Genomic DNA, 17621 nt, shown 5'->3' on the forward strand with positions numbered 1-17621 from the left:
CACAGCGTGACTCCGTCTCCAAAAAAGAAGAAAAAAAAAAACAACCAAGATGGGTTGAAAGAACAACCATATCAAAAGAATAAACAGGAGAATGACAAGTGTCAGCAGCGACAACAGGAGCTAGAATACAATAAAATAGTATCCCCAAAGAGTTACACGAATTGTAATTGAGACTTCAAACACTCCTATGGTTACTGACAGAAAAAAGCACACAAAAAATTAGTAAGGTTGAAAAACAGAACACTATCAACCAACTTGGCCTATTATTTACATAATACTCCACTCGGAAACCAAAAAATATGCATTCGTTCCAAGTGCACATGAACATTCACCAGTGAGACCATATTCTGGGCCAGAAAACAAACTGTAACAGATTAAAAAGGAAATAAAATCATACAAAACATACAGTTATGGCCTAATAAAACTAGATACCAACAGACAAATACCCAGAAAGTTCCCAAATATTCTGAAATTAAACATCACACTTCCCAATAATCCATGAGCCAAAAAGGATGTCACCAGGAGATTTTTTAATGTTTTAATTGGTCCGGGCATGGTGGTTCACACCTGTAATCCCAGTGCTTTGGGAGGCCAAAGTGGGAGAACTCCATGAGGCCAGGAGTTCAAGACCAGCCTGGGCAACATGGTGAGACCCCCATCTCTACAAACAAAAAAAATTATTTAACTGGGCATGGTGGTGTGCACCTATAGTCTCAGCTACTCACGAGGCTGAACAGGAGGATTGCTTGGGTGCTGGAGTTAGAGGCTACAGTGAGCTATGATAAGACCACTGCACTCTAGCCTGGGTGACAGACTGAGACCCTGTCTCAAAAAATAAAAGTATAATTAAATGCTTTGAGTTAAAATGGAAACATGACACTATCAAAATTTGTAGGATATGGAAAAACCAGTTTTTAGAGGGAAACTTACAGCTTTAAATGCTGATATTAGAAACAAAAAGATCTAAACTCGATAAGAACAAATGAAACCCAAAGCAAGCAGAAGAAATAAGAGCAGAAATCAATAAAATTAAAAAAAAAAATACCGAATTCAAAGCGTGGCACAGTTTGAAAAAGAGGCAATAAAACTGATACATTTCTCTTTGACCAGAACGAAAAGACACAAATTATAAATATCAACAATGAAGGGACAGCCAAAAAGACAGTAAAAGGAAAGGAAATTTTTTTTTTTTTCAGACTGGAGTGCAGTGGTGCAATCTGGACTTACTGCAAGCTCCGCCTCCCAGGTTCACGCCATTCTCCTGCCTCGGCCTCCTGAGTAGCTAGGACTACAGGTGCACACCACCATGCCTGGCTTTTTTTTTTTTTTTTTTTTTTTTTTTTTTTTTTTAAGGAAGAGACAGGGTTTCACTGTGTTAGCCAGGATGGTCTTGATCTCCTGACCTCGTCATCTGCCCACCTCGGCCTCCCAAAGTGCTGGGATTACAGGCATGAGCCACTCTGCCCAGCCAGGGAAAGGAAATATTAAGAAAACTATATGTGTGTAAATTTAACAACTTAGAAGAAATGGACAAATTCCTTGAAAGACAGAAACTACCAAAGCTCACTCAAAATGAAATGGATAGAAAACATCAGCAAAAATGGCAGAGTAAAAACCTCCAAAAATGTGCTGCTCTGTACAAGCAACGATGACCAAAAAATCCAAACAAACAAACAAAACAAAACAAAAAAGTTGTCAGAATCAACTATTTGAGAACACTGAGAATTAACCAAATTAGTGCAGGAGAATCAACCAAATGACTGCAGGAGAAAGCTGACATGGCTATAGGGGAAAAAAAGAAAAAGGTGGGAGGATAACCTTAATGACCTGTATCTACAAAAGAAATTGATGTAGAAGTTAAAAATGTTTCCATAAAGAAAATTCCAAGCTCATATGGTTTTATTGGAAAATGCTACCAATCATTTAAGAAAGCAGTAACAGAAACGTTTTGAGTTCTAAAGCATTCTGAAAACTCTTCCTGAAAATAAAAGTAATAGCAACAACTTCCAGAGAGTATTTGTCCATATTCAACTTGCATTAATGACAAAAACCATTCAGCAAATGTGGGGAAGAAGGAAAAATTATTTAACCTGAAAGGATATCTACCAGAAATCTACAGTTAACATTAATGGTGAAAGATAATGCTTTCCCCCTAAAATCAAGAACAAGGTAAGGATGTGCACCATTGTCACTTCTATTCAATATAGTACTAGAGGTCCTAGCCAATGTGATAAAGCAAGAAAAAGGAAATTAAAAATACATATCAGAAAGGAAGAAATGAAACTGTGTTCACAGATCAAGAGTTCGTAAAAAGCTCCAAGAAAAAGTAAATTTACAAACATCACAAGAGACAAGCCCAATACAATTAAATATCAATTGTATTTAATTCTATACAATGAATAACTGAAAATTTAAAAAGCAGTACCATTTGCAATAGCATAAAAAATCAAGTAAGTAGATATACATCTAGCAAAATATTTACAAGATCTATACCCTGAAAACTACAAAACTTTATTTGAAAATAAAGCAAAGAAGATCTGTGTAAATGAAGAGCTATACTGGAGTGAAAGACTCAGTATTAAGTCTCAAGATTAAGGTATTGATTATCCACAAACTGATCTGTATATTCAACATAATCCCATGACAAATTTCAGCAGGATATTTTGCATAAATCATAAGTTCATTCTAAAATGTATATGAAAATGCAAAGTATCTAGAAATGTCAATGCAACTTGGAAAACTATGAACAAAGTTTGGAAACTTATAATCCCTGTATCATAGCTGATCATAAAACTACAACAATCAAACATTTTGATATTAGCATAGAACAATGGGACAGAATAGTGTGTTTAGCAGTAGATCCACACATATTTGGGCAACTGAATTTTGACAAAGTTGCAAGGAAAATCCCATGTAGAAAGTATAATCTTTTCAACAAATAGTGCTAGAATAACTAGACATGCATATGCAAAATAATAAACCTTGTGCCGTATATAAAAATTAACTCAAAACAAACCATCAACCTAAAGGTAAAATCTAAAACTATAAAATTTCAAAAAAACAAATTTGCCTTCATTTCTATTGTTAAGTAATATTCCATTATATGGATGTGCCACAGGTTTTATACACACAACATGAATGAACCTCAAACACATTATGCTAAACCAAAGAATCCAGACTCAAAAGGTGACATACTGTATGTTCCAATATATGACATTCTGGAAAAGTAGTTGTCAAGGGCTGAGAGAAGAAGGTATTGACTTCAGCAGGCATAAATGAATTTTGGAGAGTGATGGAACTGTTCTATTTCTTGACTGTGGTGCTGGTTATGCAACTACATGTCTGTCAACATTCACTGAACTATACACCAAAGAGGTAAGAATTTCACTATGTATAAATAGCAGGTCAATTTTTAAAGTTACTTTAAAAGTAATCTTTAAAAAAATATATTCAAGGCACCATTTCAAGAATAAACACAAGGAGTCTAGAAACAGAATAGAGCAATTTCAAACGAAGAGAAAGTAAATAGAATGAAAAATATGGGAAAAACCTACTTTTAGAAAAGCGAGGAAGCAGAAAAAAATTACCCACAGTGGAATCAAAAGGTAGGACAGCAATAACAAAAATACCAATAATTATATGTAAGGCAACTGGTCTGAACCCACATTAAAAACAAAGAGTAGAATGGATTAAAAACAAAGTCCAGCTATATACTATTTATAAGAGCTATACCTAAATGTAAGCACACAAAAGGTTGAAAGTAAATGGATGAGAGAATATATACTAGACAAACATTAACCAAAAGAAAATTGGCATAGCTATATTAGAAATACAGACTATAAGAAAAAATCCTAATAAGAAGCTCAGTACCTAGTATTGGGTTCAATTCACCAAAAGACACTAGCATCATAAGATTATAACAATATTAAGTGGGAACTACCTAATAAAATAAACCCAAGATATGTAGAGCAAAAACTGACTGAACTACATAAGAAAATAAACAATTCCATTTTAATGGAAATTTTAACAAAAATACAGAAAAAGCCAACAGTCAAAAATTTCTAAAGACATAGGAAATCTGAGAAATACAACTTACAAATTGAACTAATGGACAAATATATAAATCCTGTGCCCAACAATTAGAGAAAAGAAATTCTTTTCAGATACAGGTTGAACATTTACAAAAACCAATCATATACTATGCCATAGGGCAAGAATCAACAAATGTCACAGAACTGGTTCATTAGTCTATAATGCAATTAGGTTTAAAGCTAACAATAAAAATAAATTTAAAATCACATGCATGGAAATTTTAAATAATATTTTAAATAACCGACAAGTCAAGGAAGATATAATAACCCATATTAAAAATACTTAGACCGAAACAGTAATGAAATACTTCCTATCAAAATAGTGTATGCAACAAAAAAGTAGCCAAACAGGCAAAGCTGTAGCCTTAAATGCTTATATTTGAAAGTATGTAAATCTATAATCCAGTATAGGTACACATTTATCTCAACTTCCAGAACCAAACAATGCATAGTTGCCACCAACATATACTGATGCCTTTAGCATAGTTGAGTTCTGCTGTCTTGTTAGAACCAGAAGAAGCTCCACGGTAATATGGAATTAAAGGCATAATAATCTCCACATTTTAAGTATCACAGTCTAATACCAGCTAAACAATAGCTGGAAACGGACTATGAATATATAGATAATTATATAGTAACTATATATGAATCACTTTACTAATATATTGCATGTATTGGATGTCATATTCCAGAAAAAGATAATAAAATTAGATAAAACATGTAAATCTAAATATGAATAAATCGTATGTCCCATTTAAAAAGAGAAAAGGGAAAATATCAGAGATGATCCAACAAAATTGACTCATTAACAGAAATTTCTTGGCTCTCTGCCTATGGAGTAGTCATTTTATTTTATTCCTTTACTTTCCTAATAAACTTGCTTTCACTTTACCGTATGGATTTGCCCCAAACTCTTTCTTGCAGGAGATCCAAGAACTGGAATTGGGACCCCTTTCCAGTAACATCTTTCTGGCAAACCATGGAAGCAGTAATACTGAAAAGACCCCTGACCCAAAGGAAAATCATCTGCGCACAACAGCAATCGGCCAACTTTAGGTATCACCTTTTGTCAGAACTCGGAATTATGAATGGCTCTCAACATACTGACGCTTTCTGACTGAGCTCCTCTCTACCCCAAATACAAGAGACCCTAAAAGTTAGAAAGGAATATCATCGCCCCTGTTCAGCATGAAGAAGTTACAGAAGATGCACTCTTGTCCCTCTGCAACCCTTAGGATTAAAGGTTCTCTTATAAAAGGGAGCAGAGAAATGTCAGAGTTCTCTGAACCAGAGCAACTCTATCTTGAGTAGGGGCTGGGTAAAATAAGACTGAGACCTACTGGGCTGCATTTCAAGATGGTTAAGCATTCTAAGTCACAGGATGAGACAGGAGGTCAGGACAAGATACAGGTCATAAAGACTTCGCTGGTAAAACAGGTTGCATAAAGAAGCCGGCTGAAACCCACCAAAATCAGGATGGCAGTAAGAGTGACCTCCAATCGTCCTCACTGCTACACTCCCACCAGCTCCATGACAGTTTACAAAGGCCATGGCAATGTCAGACAGTTACCCTATATGGTCGAAAAAGGGGAGGCATGAAAAAATCACCCCTTGTTTAGCATATAATCAAGAAATAACCATAAAAATGGGCAACCAGTGCCCTAAGGGCTGCTCTGCCTATGGAGTAGCCATTCTTTTATTCTTTTACTTTCCTAATAAACTTGCTTTCACTTAAAAAAAAAAATTTCTCAAAAGTTCTCATAACTAAAATACATTGAAATAGTAGTTAACATCTTCTCAATGAAAACAGAAAACACCAGGCAATGACAGTTTTACAGGACTGTTTTACCAAGATTTCAAGGAATACATTAATTCAATTTTACATAAACTCTTTCAGAGAACTGAATAATACAGAATTTTCCCCACTGCTTCTACGGTCATTATAAACCTTAGATACACATGCATGAAAGACACAGGTCTACTTTATTCATGAACATACACAGAAAAATCCTTTAAAAAATTGTTAGGAGAATCAGTCTACTATGGGCCTTGTGCCTCCCTCTGCATTCTTGGTTAGTGTGACTGATTCCAAGGGTTATCTGTCTCTTGATACTGAGTAATTTCTATAATTACTTATATAGGCAACTAAACAGGTCAAGGCAACCCATCATTACTATCATGTAACTGTTACCCTGGGGAAGCAAGACTAGTAGCTTTTCGCTATTTTGCTACAATATTTGCTGCTTACTTAAAAAGTGCTGGACCCCAGACCTGGATTACTCAATTGCATGCAATACAAACTGACTGTGTACACAGCCTGCATCTGGGCCCATTTTGTAGCTTGAGTAATAATGTTCTTTTTCTCTGACCCAGGAATCTTATGTCTTCTGCCACCATCCATGAACCAGTAACTGCCTAACTTATGAGCTTTTAAGTAGGGTAAAATCTCAAAGCCTTTACAGTTCTAGACAGATATTTATCAAATTAAATCCAAAGTATGTAACAACATGACTAAGTTGAGTTTATCTCAGCAATGCAAATTTGTTTAAAATTGGAAAAAAAAGTGTGTGTATGTATATGTATATATATATTTTACCATACATTTACCTTATTAACTTTTGATGAGAAAAATAATATAATCATCTCTACAGGAGAAAAGTACTTGATAAAATATCTGAAAATGAACTAGCAAAGTAGGAATTGAAGGAAACTTCTAAAATCTAAAAAACTTTTTTAACAAAAACATACAGCAAGTATCATTCTTAATAAAAACTATTAGAAGCAGTCCCTTTAAAACTGGAAACAACAGAAGTACGCCCAGTATTAATGCTTCCACTCAACATCATATGAATTATCCTAGAGTCAGTGCATTAAAATAAGAAAATTAAATATGTAAGAACTGGAAAAGAAAAAAAAAAGCCATAATTTTCAGCAGATGAAATGATTACTGCATGTAAAACTCCAAAAAATTTGCAGACAAGTTTTTAGAAGAATGAGAGTTTAGCCAAGAAGGCTCACTATAAGATTAATTTTAAAACAAACAAAAAACAAAACCAATTGTATTTCTATATCCAATAGCAAATAGGAAATAACCAAGAAAAGAGAAAAAAAAAAAGAAGAAAAAACCTTAAAAAATAAAACAGTTGGCCAGGCACGGTGGCTCATACCTGTAATCCCAGCACTTTGAGAGGCAAAGGAGGGTGGATCACCAGACGTCAGGAATTTGAGACCAGCCTGGCTAAATGGTGAAACCCTGTCTCTACCAAAAACACAAAAATTACCTAGGTGTAGTGGCAGGAGCCTGTAATCCCAGCTACTCAGGAAGCTGAGGCAGGAGAATCGTTTGAACCCGGGAGGCAGTGGTTGCAGTGAGCCAAGATCGCGCCACTGCACTCCAGCCTGGGCAACAGAGCGAAACTCCGTCTCAAAAAAAAAAAAAAAAAAAAAAAAGGGAAAAAAGACAGTTGTGGTTTACAATAAAAAAAAAAAAAGTATAAAGTACCTAGAAATAAGTCTAACAGATGTACTTGATTGGTGTAGAAAGCTATAAAATTTTATTAGAAGACATTAAATAAATGGACAAAGAGCCCAAATTCATGAATAGGATGATTGAATACAATTAAGATGTCAATTCTTCCTAAATTGATCCAGACAGTCAATGAAATTCCAGAGTTCAAACAGAGTTTTTCATGAAACTTAACAAGCTGTTTCTTATGTATGAGGAAGAGCCACGGTGCCCAAATTGTCAAAACACTGCTAAAGAAAAATGTGAGGAGACTTTCAAAACCAGGTATCAAGTTTTAATATAAAGCCATAATAATTAAGACAATATGCTAATTGGTACAAGGTTAGACAAATTTACTACTGGAAAGGAAAAGAAATTCCCAAAATAGACCTAGACATGGTTAATACACAAGAGAAGTGACTTTACTGATCACTGAGAAAAGGAAAAACTATTCACTAATGATGTTGAGACAACTGGTTACTCATAGGGAAAAAACAAAATTAAATTCCTCACCAAATTAGACCCCTCATACTATATTTAAAAATCAGTTACAAGGGCCAGGTGCAGTGGCTCACACCTGTAATCCCAACACTTTGGGAGGCTGAGGCAGGTAGATCACCTAAGGTCAGGAGTTCGAGACCAGCCTGACCAAGATGGTGAAAACCCGTCTCTACTAAAAATACAAAAACTAGCTGGGCATGGTGGCGGGAGCCTGTAATCCCAGCTACTCAGGAAGCTGAGGCAGGAAAATTGCTTGAACCCAGGAGGCAGAGGTTGCAGCAAGCTGAGATTTGCACCATTGTACTCCAGCATGGGCGACAGAGCGAGACTTTGTCCCCAAAAAAAAAAAAAAAAAAAAATCAGTTACAAATGAATTAAAGAATTAACTGCGAAGAGCAAAACCTCAAAACCTTTAAGATGATACAAGAGAATATATTTCTGATCCGGGAAGGGCAAGATTTCTGTTATTAACAACACACAAATGTACTAACTACAAGAGAAAAGATTTTAAAACTCAACTACATTAAAAATATCAAATCTGGCAGGGCGTGGTGGCTCACACCTGTAATCCCAGCACTTTGGGAGGCTGAGGTGGGAGGATCACCTGAGGTCAGGAGTTCGAGACTAGCCTGGCCAGCATGGTGAAACCCCGTCTCTATTAAAAATACAAAAATTAGCCAGGCATAGTGATGCACGCCTGTAAATCCCAACTACTTGGGAAGCTGAGGCAGGAGAATCACTTGAACCCGTGGGGTAGAGGTTGCAGTGGCCGAGATCGCGCCACTGCACTCCAGCCTGGGTAACAGAGTGAGACTCTGTCTAAAATAAATAAATATATATATATATATATATATATATATATATATATATATATTCTACTCATTAAAAAGATACCAGAAAGAAAAACAAAAGGAAAAGCCATAGAGTGGGAGAAGACACTTATAACGCAAAATAGAAAAAAGAACTCCTCCAATTCAATAAGAAATCATCAAATAGAAAATAGGCTAAAAACATCAACAGTAATTTCAAATAAATATAATAGCCAACAGACACATGAAAAGATGCAAAATCTTACCAGCAATTAGGAAAATGTAAATTAAGAGTACAGTTAGAAACTCATACTCAATAACTGACAAAACTTAAAAATCTGACAATATCAAGTGTTGGAGAAAAGACTGAAAATGAAAACTGTATTATTTTGAGTAGAATCTTTTAGTACAACCACTTTGTAAAACATTATGGTATTGCCTAAAAAAAACCTAAGGATGTACAGACCTCTACATCCCCATTCCACTCCTATGAAGTATATCAGGAGACATGTATGAGTCTGTTCATGGCTGTACTGCTTATAGTAGCCAAAAACAAAAATGGAACCAACCTAAATATCTACAGCAGAATGAGTGAATTATAGCATATTCACATATCAGAATACAATACAGCAGTAAAACAAAGAACTGTCATTAGATGTATGCATCAACATGGCTGAATCATAAAAACATAAGGCTGAATAAAAACCAAGTCATAAAAATTACATTCAGTAGGATTCCATTCATAAAAAGGTTAGAACACCTTTAACAGATGCATACATAACCCCAATATCTAAATTCAGGGTAGTAGTAACATCTGGGAGAAAGACATAATCGTGAAAGAAAACGCAGGAAACATAAAAGGTATAGGGGATCTATAATGACAAGGTGTGTTTGTGCCTATTTCCCCATAATCTCACCAACAGGGCTATTTTGTCATATTTTTTAAATTCTCCCAATCTGATAGGTGAAAAATGTAATTGAATATAATTTCAATTTGTACTATTATTATGCATAAGGCTGATCAGGTCCAATTTTAGACCTCTTTGTACATCATCTGGTACGAACTATTAATATGTTCTCTACTAGACTGTTCTTTTTCTTATTGATTTTTAGAAGCTCACATACAACACAAAAATAAGTATTTTGCCTCCTATATAAATGAAAATTATATTTCCCAGTGCATTTTTTTAAAACAGGTATTTAAAATATTGGCTAATAGGAGAATGACTATTCATTTAATTATTTTCTTTAAAATGCATGTTAATTATTCTTTTATATTATATTTCAAGAATAAAACAAATTTACAAAGTAAAAGAAAGTCTTCCACTGACATGGTCCATAAACAGACCAAGTAATCCTTGGAAGAAAGCTAGAAATTTTCAAAATTAGTGAGGTCCTACATATTTTTATGACCTGGGACATCAATTTTTATTGCTCAAGGACAACTTGTTGGCCCATATGTCGGATAAAGTATTGCCTTACACCTTAGGACATGAATTCTAAATTCTTTTAAAATAACTGTATGAGAATTGCTTCTACTTATGCCTTTTCTTCATAAAATTAATACATTTTTATTTTTCTAAGTGACTTCACAGAACACTTCCAACTTACTAGACTGGCGGTGTCTGTGTCTATAGTTTTAAAATTGGCCTTCTTATCCTAATTCCTCAAATAACTTACTCTCCACGCTCTCCTCAAATCTCAAAATAAAATTTCTAAAAATTAGCTTGTTGAGCCAGCATGACCCAAATCATTACTAAAATTTCAGTATCTGAGTTTCAAAGGAGGAAAAGGATATAGAGAAAAAAAATCTTCCAGTTTCAAGACAAAATGTCTCAGAAGCAGTTCATTCTCATTGTTTAACTATATCACAGTGCTATTTCAAATGTTCCATTCCATTTTTTTGACATAAAGTACCATAATATGGCTAATAAAACTGACTTTGAAATTATTTCAAATTTTACCTTCCTAAGAATATAAAACTACCATTCATTAGCAACACTGTATCCCTTCAATTGCTTCAAAAGCCACTCCTGCTATTACCATCTTAAACTTTTTTAAAAGGAAGAGATCTGGTTTTCTGGATCACCTTGGAAAGTGACACTGACAAAAAACTAAATAGACTCTCAAAGAAGTTTAGAAAAGGGCTACATATAGGTACTTACAACAAATTGAAATTTAATAAAAAAGAATTTAACCACAGGCATAAACAAAGCTAAGTTACAGTTCGTGAAGCAGAGCTGGTGTCTGACTTGATAGATTTTAATGAATGTAAATCAGTGGCGTCTGACTTGATAGATTTTAAAGAACGTAAATCAGTAGACAAAATGCCACTAGAATCGAAGGCCAGCCAAAGACAATCGTTTGGAAAACTACCATTTTAACTAGAAAAACTGAATGAAGGACTAAGGAGATAATATTCAAAATTACTCATTCAGTTGATACTTAGTACAAATTTTCTGGAAACATGCTTGTACTTGAGATAATATGAAACAGTTATGAAAGAGTAAGAAATACTAACAGTTGCTTTTTCAGGAATGTTTCTAATACAAAGGGTAAGTCCACTGGATTCAACAGTAAATTATTCGCCCTGCACAGTGGCTCACGCCTGTAATCCCAGCACTTTGAGAGGCTGAGGTGGGCGGATCACCTGAGGTCGGGAGTTCAAGATCAGCCTGACCAACATAGAGAAGCCCCGACTCTACTAAAAATACAAAAAATTAGCCGGACGTGGTGGTGCACGCCCAGCTACTTGGGAGGCTGAGGCAGGAGAATCACTTGAACCTGGGAGGCGGAGGTTGCCGGGAGGCGGTGGTTGCAGTGAGCCAAGATCATGCCATTGCACTCCAGCCTGGGCAACAAAAGTGAAACTCCATCTCAAAAAAAAAAAGTAAATTATTCATTTGTCATTGATATGCTTTCTATCAATATCGGGAAGAAGAAAACAGCTGTTAGTGAGGAATAGACTTGCACCTACTCCAACTCTAGCTGAATGGCTATTTCAGCTACATAAGAATAAGACTGAGCATAAAGAAAATGAGGTGAAATGTCTCAACAGTACAATTTCAAATGCCTTGGGTTAATCCTCAATCCTTAGGAAAATATTTTAGATATAAGTACTTTCCCTCTCTACTTCATATGTGATTTAAAAAATCAATAAAATCCTACAAAGAAACTATAACACAAGATTCAAACCATTCATATAATTGTCTAATTTATGAAACTGAATAAGGAAACCTAATTATCATGTGTTATTTCAACCAATAAAATCAGCATTCTTTCTATTCTTATTCAAATTTCATTCTTAATGATCCATTATATAACAAAAGCAAATGCAGGCAGAACATTATCATGGAAACTAAAATAGTCTTTGAAGAAGGAAAATAAAATCTATGAAAGTGTATACTTTACAAGGCTTTGACTGATGTTTATTCCTCATGAGCACAGAAGAAAATGTTTAACTAATACAGAACATTTGTATTTGGTCCTATTAATTCATAAATAAACTCTTGTATGCTATGCCATAAGAGAAAATTACACAAATTTCAGTGTTTCTATGAATTGAGTATGCCTTTCATCCCAAATTAACTGAGAAAGATGGTCAGAGAAGCATGCATTTTGGACTAACACGTTACCTAGAATAATTTACTTAATAGGTACAGCTAATTTTACTATTATAATGTTTTCTCTCCTGTAATCACATCAATGCTATTTTATCTACCATGTCAAAAGCTAAACATGAGGCATTCTGGCTGAGGTTTAGACTATTATTAGGTAAAGTAATCCCTTTTTTTTCTTGAGACGGAGTTTCGCTCTTGTTGCCCAGGCTGGAACACAGTGGCGCGATCTCGGCTCCCCGCAACCTCTGCCTCCTGGGTTCAAGCGATTTTCCAGACCCCCAAGTAGCTGGGATTACAGGCATGCACCACCACACACGGCTAATTTTGTATTTTTAGTAGAGACAGGGTTTCTCCATGTTGGTCAGGCTGGTCTCAAACCAGCCTAGTATTCCCTTTTTTTTTTTAAGTGTTAATTTAAATTATCTCTTCTGAGAAAGTTCAGTTTTATAGAAAAATTAAAGGTAAGATACAAAAACAACCAAAAAATTTTCCCCTTACAAGTTTGTTAATATGATGGCACATATTGAAATCTTCAAGTTCAATTTGATACTTAAAGAACTACTTTCTTAGGCAGGGCACGGTGGCTCACATCTGTAATACCAGCACTTTGGGAGGCCGAGGCCGGCGGATCACGAGGTCAGGAGATCGAGACCATCCTGGCTAACATGGTGAAACCCCGTCTCTACTAAAAATACAAAAAAATTAGCCGGGCATGGTGGCGAGCGCCTGTAGCCCCAGCTACTCAGGAGGCTGAGGCAAGAGAATGGCATGAAGCCAGGAGGCAGAGCTTGCAGTGAGCCAAGATTGCGCCACTGCACTCCAGCCTGGGCGACAGACCAAGACTCCGTCTCAAACAAACAAACAAACAAACAAACAAAAACTACTTTTCTTTCAAGAGAAAGTACACGTAGTCACATTCTAAAACTCATACTAAAACTTGACCTTTTTAAAGGCCAAAATGCTCTTTAAAAGGCTCAGAATACCTCAAAACTGTTTAAAAATCACTTACCTTTCAAACCTAGAGTTTGTAGCTGGAAGAGCCGACCAAGTTCATAAGGCAAAACCCGTAACAGATTGTTATTTAAAAGCAATTCCCTGTTTTAAAAAAAAAAAAAAAATTAGTTTAATATACTAAGTTTTATTAACATCTGTATTTGCCATTCTTAAGGCTCCTTCTAACATACTATGAGTGATTGTTTATATTCAAGGCACATTTCTATGTGCTCATCCAAAAACATTGCACAATATAAAAGTACTACAAAATGTGCAATTGCCACAACTATTAACAATGGTTCTATTTCTAGGATTTACTCATTTGCTAGCTCACATTAAAGTTGGAGGTGTAGGAACTGCATATCATTCTCAGGCTAAATCTACCCCCTTTTTTCTCACCCAAAATGCCTATCAAATGCAAATGCGACAGATATCCTTAGCAGCTAAACAACAGATATCCTTGAAACTCGTCTAATTAATAGAAAAAAGTACAAATTTTTACACAAACTTCAGGAATAAACTGTAATTAGTAGCCAATCACCGGTATCTCTTTTTAAGTAACTGAATACTACTCTAATCACATCAAAATACTAAGAAAACAAACCAAAAATTTAATAAAAATAAAAAGAATAAGAAACAACAGGTGAAGTATATTAAAGAAGACAAAAGAAAATGTGAAAAGATGAAAAAATATACTATGATCAACAATCACTGACATGAAACATAAATATTAAAATAAAGCATAGATAGTACAGACAAGAATAGGATAGCATAAATAAGATCTAACTTTATGATTGTGAAATTTTGAGCAGCCTATAGGAAAAAAATAGCATCCTCATTAGTGGATGACCAAAAGTAAAAAAAGCAAGTAAAGGATAGTGAAGAACAAGATTTTAAAACAATATGTTTAAACACGTGATAGCAATTTTTAAAAATTATTACTCAACAGATAATCATTGGAAACATTTAGATAAGATCTTAAGATTCCTGCAAAATTTTTTTAGAATTTCTTTAGGGAATTTTTAAAGAATCCCTAAAAATTAGAAATAAATCCATTTCATCAGGTTTTAAGGTTTCCTTAAGGAGCTGTATTATGAAATATAAATATTCTTTGACTCATATAATAGAGATATGTTCTTGTAAGTTTTATTCATCAGCAAATCTTCATTTTTCAAGTACTTCTAATCAGTCTTATCATATTGGATAATGAGACTTACTATTTTAGCCCCACCCCACCTCAAGTTTGTCAAGGAAACTGGTAATACAAGCACACTCTAATTCAGGAACCTCCAAATTTAAAGGAAAAGAAATGTTCAACGGAGGCCAACTCAAGCACTATGCTTAGACAGTTTATATAATTTGATAGTTACAACACACAGAAATCCTACTGTAATAAAGTAACATCCCCTCATTTTCTTAAATTTAGAATTTTATATAGTGAGTCATGTCTGTTTTATTTCCTCACCTGAGAGACACCATGTTTCCTAGTTCTGCTGGTAAACTTCTGAGTTTATTGGATGACAGATCCAGGTAAACCAGATTATGAAGCTTGGCAATATCAGGTGGAATGCGACTAAGGTAATTGTCATTTAGGTGCAGCGCTGTCAAGTGTGTCAATGACCAAAGTGATGTACTTAGGCTCCGCACTCTACCTAAAAGGCAAAATACTGAAGTGTAAAAAAAAACCCCAGGCCCAAGATGACACCTAAACTACAACGACTGAAAAGTGGTAAGAGAGGCTGCAAATACACATGGATATTGTATCTCTGACATTTTAATTTTTTATTTAATGCCATTTGATTGCTTCCAAACACACCTGGCCCTCCTTTACGTTCATGCCACTTTCACCTGACAACCACTCTTTCTCAAGAACCTTCTATGTATTAAATGAGAAGTGGCAAAATGTGGAAACCCTTGGAGTTTAACTGAGTAGTTCTCAACCAGAGGCAATTTTGTTTCCTCAAAGGATTTTGGAATGCCTGGAGACATTTTTGGTTGCCACAACTGAAGGGGTACTACTGCTATCTAGTGAGTAGAGGCCAGAAATGCTACTAAATATCCTACAATGCACACAACAGGCCTCCACTATTATCCAGCTCAAAGTGTCAGTAGTGCCAAGGCTAAGAAACCCTAGATTAACTTAGTAAGATCTGCTCATATTCATTCTTTTGACTACCAATCATCCATCCACCCAGTTACCTTTTAGCTAAATGTGCAAGTAATTCTTGCTATTGACATTACAATGTGGGGTTTAACTCTTCCAAATGAATGCCTACTGGGGAAAAAATGGCATTTTATATATAATCTGTATTATACCAATTCATAAAAGAAAAATACTTATATTCTATTTTTAATAACTTTAAATTTTGTAATAATTTTAGATTTACAGAAAAGTTACCAAGATAACACAGAGAGTTCCTATATACCCCTCCTTCAGCTTCCCTAACATTAGAATCTACATCATCACCATGGTACATTTGTCAAAACTAGGAAACCAACACTGGTGCATTACTACTAATTAAACTCTAGACTTTACTTGGATTTCACCAGTTTTTATACCTTTTTGTTCCAGATTCAACGCAGGCTACCATTTTGCATTTAGTTACCTCTCCTCAGTCTCCTCTGGTCTGTGACAGTTTCAGCCTTTGTTTTACATGACCATGACAATTTTGAGTATTAATCAAGTTAGGTATTTTGCACAAGGTCCTTTAGCTTGAGTTTGTCTGATGTTTTTCTCATTATTAGACTGGAATTATGAGTTTTTAGGAATCACATTCTATTTTACCAAATCCTAAACAGGTATTAAGGTCCTGTAACACAGTTATTATATATTTATTAGAATAAATAGCTTCCAGGTTTCCTTCTTTGCCGACACTGAGATAGGAGGATGGCAAAGATTTCAATTTGCAAAAATAATTACTCTGAAATAGCCTAAACAAAATCTATTATATCAAAGAAACTGGTTTTACTTAGAAACTAAACTCCCCATATCCTCAATTCCAGATGCTTGCTCAATGTAATTAATCTCAAAAAATGGAAACAAAGATATTCAGTCACACATAAAACAGAAAACACTAGTATCTTACCATCTTGTAGTTTTTCAATGAGTCCATCTAATTAAAAATGTACAACAAAAAATATAGCAATACTCAACTTTTGTATTATCACTATTACATTCCAGATTAAATGCTTCAGATTCCACTCACCCGAGATTTCTAATTCTGCCCAGTGAGATTTTTTCCCATTGGCTACCTCCTCTGCTGACATGATGGTATAAATTCTGCGAGGATCTGGAGGATCATATTTTTCCTTTGGCATCCCTATTAGTCTGTTTAAAAAAAAAAAGGAGGAGATCAATAATTATTATAGTCTTACTTTAAAAAAAGAGAAAATAGGATGGTAAACTCCTTTTCTCTCCCATTACCAGTCTAGTAAGTCATTTTATACTACAAATTCTCACTTGCAGAAAAAGAAAACACACACATTATCTGCAGTATGCTAGGATCTTGCAGGAACTCATTATCAGATGCCTAAGGGAAAATGCAAATAAGCAACAGCACTGGACTTTGCAATGAACATTATGGTTGCTTCCTAACTCCTTCCCTTCATTTAGCTGCACTGCTTTCCCACACAGCAGTTTCGTGAATGGACTCTGACTAGTCTAAGAGAATAAGGTAATTCTATCCTCCTTTCCTCAGTGATATTCAGATATCCCATGCCTAAGACAATCAGCACATGACATTCCCCTTGCAGAGATTTAGTTCAGGAGTATCTAATAATCACAAAACCGCAGAACTCATTCTATGTTTATAGGAGAAGCAGGCTTCTCTCTCCTGCTGGTCATAAACAAAGAAGAATACAGCCCAAATTGCTGCTGGCAGCCACGCAACAACGATAAGGAAAGTCAGCCATGGAAGGCAGAGTCTGGAAAACAGAAAAACAAAGGCAGGGTCCTCACTGAATGACACCTGTAGCACACCCAAATACTGGCCTTTTCTGATACACAAGCCAATATAGTTCTCTTACTGTTTAAGCTACTTTGAATTGTGTTTTCTGTTACTAGTAATCAAAAGTGTCCTAATTAGTATGAGTACATATCTTA

General features: G+C 35.0%; 1 protein-coding gene across 19 annotated transcripts in view, besides 1 other annotated feature; it reads right to left on the reverse strand.

The window, feature by feature from the left end:
- Window positions 1-17621, reverse strand: part of CNOT6L (CCR4-NOT transcription complex subunit 6 like) — a 106883-nt gene that overhangs the window by 46159 nt on the left and 43103 nt on the right. For all 19 annotated transcript variants that reach the window (NM_001387835.1, NM_001387839.1, NM_001387836.1 and 16 more), the window contains 3 exons: window positions 16726-16847; window positions 14985-15171; window positions 13536-13621 (listed from right to left, as the gene is read on the reverse strand). In NM_001387835.1, coding sequence (NP_001374764.1) covers window positions 13536-13621; window positions 14985-15171; window positions 16726-16837 — 385 coding nt within the window. In that variant the 5' untranslated portion in view covers window positions 16838-16847. The remainder of the gene's footprint in view (window positions 1-13535; window positions 13622-14984; window positions 15172-16725; window positions 16848-17621) is intronic.
- Window positions 11178-11819: an enhancer, noted in NCBI's record as "H3K4me1 hESC enhancer chr4:78691877-78692518 (GRCh37/hg19 assembly coordinates)". NCBI's record gives its function as "activates a minimal SCP1, AML or CMV promoter by ChIP-STARR-seq in naive H9 embryonic stem cells {active_cell/tissue: H9 hESC(naive)}" and the evidence as "EXISTENCE:reporter gene assay evidence [ECO:0000049][PMID:30033119]".

This window comes from Homo sapiens, chromosome 4 (assembly GCF_000001405.40).
Source record: "Homo sapiens chromosome 4, GRCh38.p14 Primary Assembly".
NCBI lineage: Eukaryota > Metazoa > Chordata > Mammalia > Primates > Hominidae > Homo > Homo sapiens.